Source organism: Homo sapiens, chromosome 5 (assembly GCF_000001405.40).
Source record: "Homo sapiens chromosome 5, GRCh38.p14 Primary Assembly".
Classification (NCBI taxonomy): domain Eukaryota; kingdom Metazoa; phylum Chordata; class Mammalia; order Primates; family Hominidae; genus Homo; species Homo sapiens.
In genome coordinates this window covers 172,787,150-172,791,150 of record NC_000005.10, presented here as the reverse complement: position 1 = coordinate 172,791,150, position 4,001 = coordinate 172,787,150, and the positions used below count along the sequence as shown (strand labels likewise).

At 51.7% G+C, this 4,001-nt stretch overlaps 1 annotated feature.

Moving 5' to 3' along the window:
* Positions 2,952 to 3,453: an enhancer, noted in NCBI's record as "H3K4me1 hESC enhancer chr5:172214701-172215202 (GRCh37/hg19 assembly coordinates)". NCBI's record gives its function as "activates a minimal SCP1, AML or CMV promoter by ChIP-STARR-seq in naive H9 embryonic stem cells {active_cell/tissue: H9 hESC(naive)}" and the evidence as "EXISTENCE:reporter gene assay evidence [ECO:0000049][PMID:30033119]".

Below are 4,001 nucleotides of genomic sequence, written 5' to 3'. Positions count from 1 at the left end.
TTTATCAAGCGTCGCAGGTGTGAGGGGACTTTATATGCACCTCTTACCCTTGAACCTTCATAATCCCCTTTGTGGTACTATTATTATGATTGTATTTTACAGATGAGGAGACAGAGGTTCCAAGAGGCAGAAGCAATCAAGCAGTAACAGAGTGGAGAAGTGAGAGAGCTGGCAAACAGTGGGGGTGGGGGATGGAGGGGAGTCCTCACTCCAGAGCCCAGGGAATTTCCTTCCTATGTCTGCACTGCTGCTCTCTTGCCATTCAGAGTACCGACTCTGCACCAGGCATCCTGCTAGGTGTTGGTGCTGGGATGCACAGTGAATGGGCCAGGCCTGACCCCTGCATGAGCCACAGTCTACCAGAAGCCCCTAAAGTGCTGAGAATACTCATCAGAGGCCAAATGAGACTTCTTTTTGCCTCTACTCAGCTACCCCCCGCTCTACCACCTGCCAGCTGCGTGACCCTGGACAATTACCTTCCCTCTCTGTGCTTTAGTCCCATGAAAATGAAAAAATGGCAGAAATACTAATTTCTACCTCACTGGGTGATTGCAAGGAATGAATAGGAAATGCACGTCAATCAGTAATGCCAGTGCCTGGCCCAGAGAAGGTGCTTGGTGTCCCATCTAGGTCTGTCTTCGTTCCATCTGCAAGCATGCTTTACCAGGCTGTTGTCATCGCCAAACTCCATTTGAAGCTGAAGAGGCTCTGAGGGGTGAAGTGGTCCATTTAAGGCATAGGCTAAGAGGTGAAGCTGAAACAGAGCCCTCCAGGGTCCCGGATGCATGCTCTCTTTCCCTGGAACCCCTGGGCACCTGTACACCTCTGACCCTTCCCCTCTGGGTTCTGAGTCGCCTCGGAAGGAGTGGGAGGTGAGGGGTTAAGCAGGCTGCTTGGCACTGCAGCAGAAATCTCAGGAAGTACTGGGCTGAGAGTACTTCTAAGAAAGAGGGAGGCAGAAAAGGACATACTCATCCTGGCCTCAGTGGGCAGAGGTCAGCCTGGCTCCCGGCCCAGAGGCTTGCCCTCGAGGGGCCCCCGGCCTCCAGCCCAGCTTGGCTCAGCATACAAATGAAGTATTTGATGCCCCATGGTGGACCTCCTCCTTCCAGATTCTTCTTCAGGCCTGCCTCTCCTGGCCTTCCTGGGTAGATGCCCACAGCTGAGGCCTGGGGCGAGATGACCAGGGCTGGGAAGAAAGCCCTCAGCCCCCTCCACCATTCAGGCACTCTGAAAGCACTGTGAGGCCTGCACTTTGGGGTCAGGGGACTTGGCTCTGCCCATTCTGCAGGGAAGGCCCTGGTCACGTGACCAAATGGCTCTCAGCCCCAGGGTTCTTGTCTGTAAACAGGAGAAATAATAGTATTGCCTCCCTGGGATTAGGGGAGGCCTTCATTTCTCTTAAGTTCCTGGCCTGGCAGGTGCTATGCTTCTGGTTGGGGAAGCAGTTGCTAGGACCCTGCTCCAACAGGCTTAGGGCTGGAGCAGGGATTTCCTAGCGCTTCCCCATGCTTCAGGTTTCCTGGGGGTCTTCCTTAGGCTGTAGAGTTACCTGGCTTCTGCTCTGTGTCTAGCCAGGAGAGCCTGAGGCAGAGTCCCAGGACGGTGCCAGAGTGGAGCCGGGCCTCAGGATGCCATGAATTTCAGGGTCCTAAAATTCAGGAGCTTGTGTGGCTTAGGACCAGCACCAAGGGACCCTGAGCCTAGCCTTGGTGTCCCTATCAGCAGCCCAAGGACCCTGAGCTGGCCCTCACAGAGTGTCATGTGGCTTTTACCCTAGATAACACAGCCCTTGGAGCGTTCTCCTACCGCTGCCTGGAGTTTTCTCTGAAACACCCAGAGGCGGGGCCTGGTGGCTATGTCAGTGTGAGGTCACTAGAATGACTTGTCTCCACGACCTTGATCTAGTGATCTAGTGGAGCTCCAAGGCTAGCTGACTCGGGAACCCAGGACCACCCCCAACCCCCACCAGTGCCACCATCCCACAGGGCCTCCCCAGCTTTTCTGTTACCACAACCCACGGCGGGATCCAGGCTGCCGAGCTTAGGGACTTTTGAAGGGGTTTTGGAGGGCTCAGCAGCTCAGCCCTGTGGGCTTCAGCTCACAGATTCAGCCCCCACTGAGGCGTTTCCTTTCCATGGCTATTTATGGGCGTTTCCTGTCCCTTGAATAGGGAAAGTAAAAGGAAGCAAAAGAAACTGACCTGTGGGTCCTTGAACAGCTGGCAAATCATCTCCATTATTATTGATTTTAAAAAGCATACAAGCGGCCAGGCGCAGTGGCTCACGCCTGTAATCCCAGCACTTCGGGAGGCCGAGGCGGAGAGATCACCTGAGGTCGGGTGTTCGAGACCAGCCTGACCAACATGGAGAAACCCTGTCTCTACTAAAAATACGAAATTAGCTGGGCATGGTGGAGCATGCCTGTAATCCCAGCTACTCGGGAGGCTGAGGCAGGAGAATCGTTTGAACCCAGGAGGCGGAGGTTGCAGTGAGCCTGCAGTGTCCAGGCTGCACACCAGCCTGGACAACAAAAGTGAAACTACGTCTCAAAAAAAAAAAAAAAGCATACAAGCTTGGAGTAAAGAATGCCAAAGCTAGAAAATAAGCATGGAAAAGGGCAAGTCTAATAATAGGAGGGAATCCATGCTGGATACTTCAACCCTCCAGTGAACATATGCTGAGCACCTACTATTTGCCAACCACCATGCAGATTCCTTGACTTGCTATTTTCTCTCCATAATATATGCTGGGCATGAAAGATAACCCTTTAAGTCAGTAGTTTGCAGCCCTGAGACTGTATGTTGGGACCCTTGTGAAGATGTTTAAATTCCACATGCCCAGGCCTACCCCAGGTGAGTGACATCAGAAGTTCTGGAGGTGGGGCTCAGGAGGCAGGAATCACGAAAGGTCCTAGGTGAGGAGCCTGGGATGGAGTATTGCTCTGGGCTTCTCCGGGCCGCTAGCGTCGGAGCCGGCCCTCCACGTGGCATGTGAGGTGTTTCACTTGAGTTCGTGTGAAGAGACCACCAAACAGGCTTTGCGTGAGCAACAAGGCTGTTTATTTCACCTGGGTGCAGGCGGGCTGAGTCTGAAAAGAGAGTCAGTGAAGGGAGTTAGGGGTGGGGCCGTTTTATAGGATTTGGGTAGGTAAAGGAAAATTACAGTCAAAGGGGGTTTTTCTCTGGCGGGCAGGGGTGGGGGTCACAAGGTGCTCAGTGGAGGAGCTTTTGAGCCAGGATGAGCCAGGAGAAGGAATTTCACAAGGTAATGTCATCCGTTAAGGCAGGAACAGGCCATTTTCACTTCTTTTGTCATTCTTCAGTTACTTCGGGCCATCTGGATGTATACGTGCAGGTCACAGGGGATATAATGGCTTAGCTTGGGCTCAGAGGCCTGACAAGGTGAAAAGTAGTGTGTGCTTGCATCTGAATCTCACTGTGCTGCTTTCTGCCTGGGAAAATGGTGGGAGGGAAGTCAAGGAAATACCCCTTTATTTTAACCATAATGGCATAGTGTCTCTTTCTCCTTGGGGAGATTGTGACAGCTTGTCCTAGGAAGAGCTTACCCAGGTCATTCCTGAGTAGGTTAGCCCTGGTGTCACCTCTTCTGTTCATTTCTACAGGAAGAATTTCATCAACGCTTAGCTCATTCTGGAATTTGTTATTTTGACAATTTGGCAGTTCAGTTTACTAATGTATTATGTGTGTTTACGTGTGTGTTTCTGTGTGTGTGTATGAATGTGTGTGTCTGTGTGTGTCTGTGTGTCTCTTTCTGTGTGTCTGTATAACTGTGTGTCTCTGTGTATGTATGTGTGTGTCTCTGTATGTCTGTGTGTCTCTAGAGGTCTCTCTGTGTATCTGTGTGTCTCTGTGTGTCTCCAGATGTCTGTGTATCTGTGTGTGTGTGTGTTTGTGTGTATGTATGTGTGTCTCTGTATGTCTCTCTGTGTGTCTGTGTGTGCCTCTGTGTGTCTATGTCTCTCTGTGTGTCTGTGTGTGT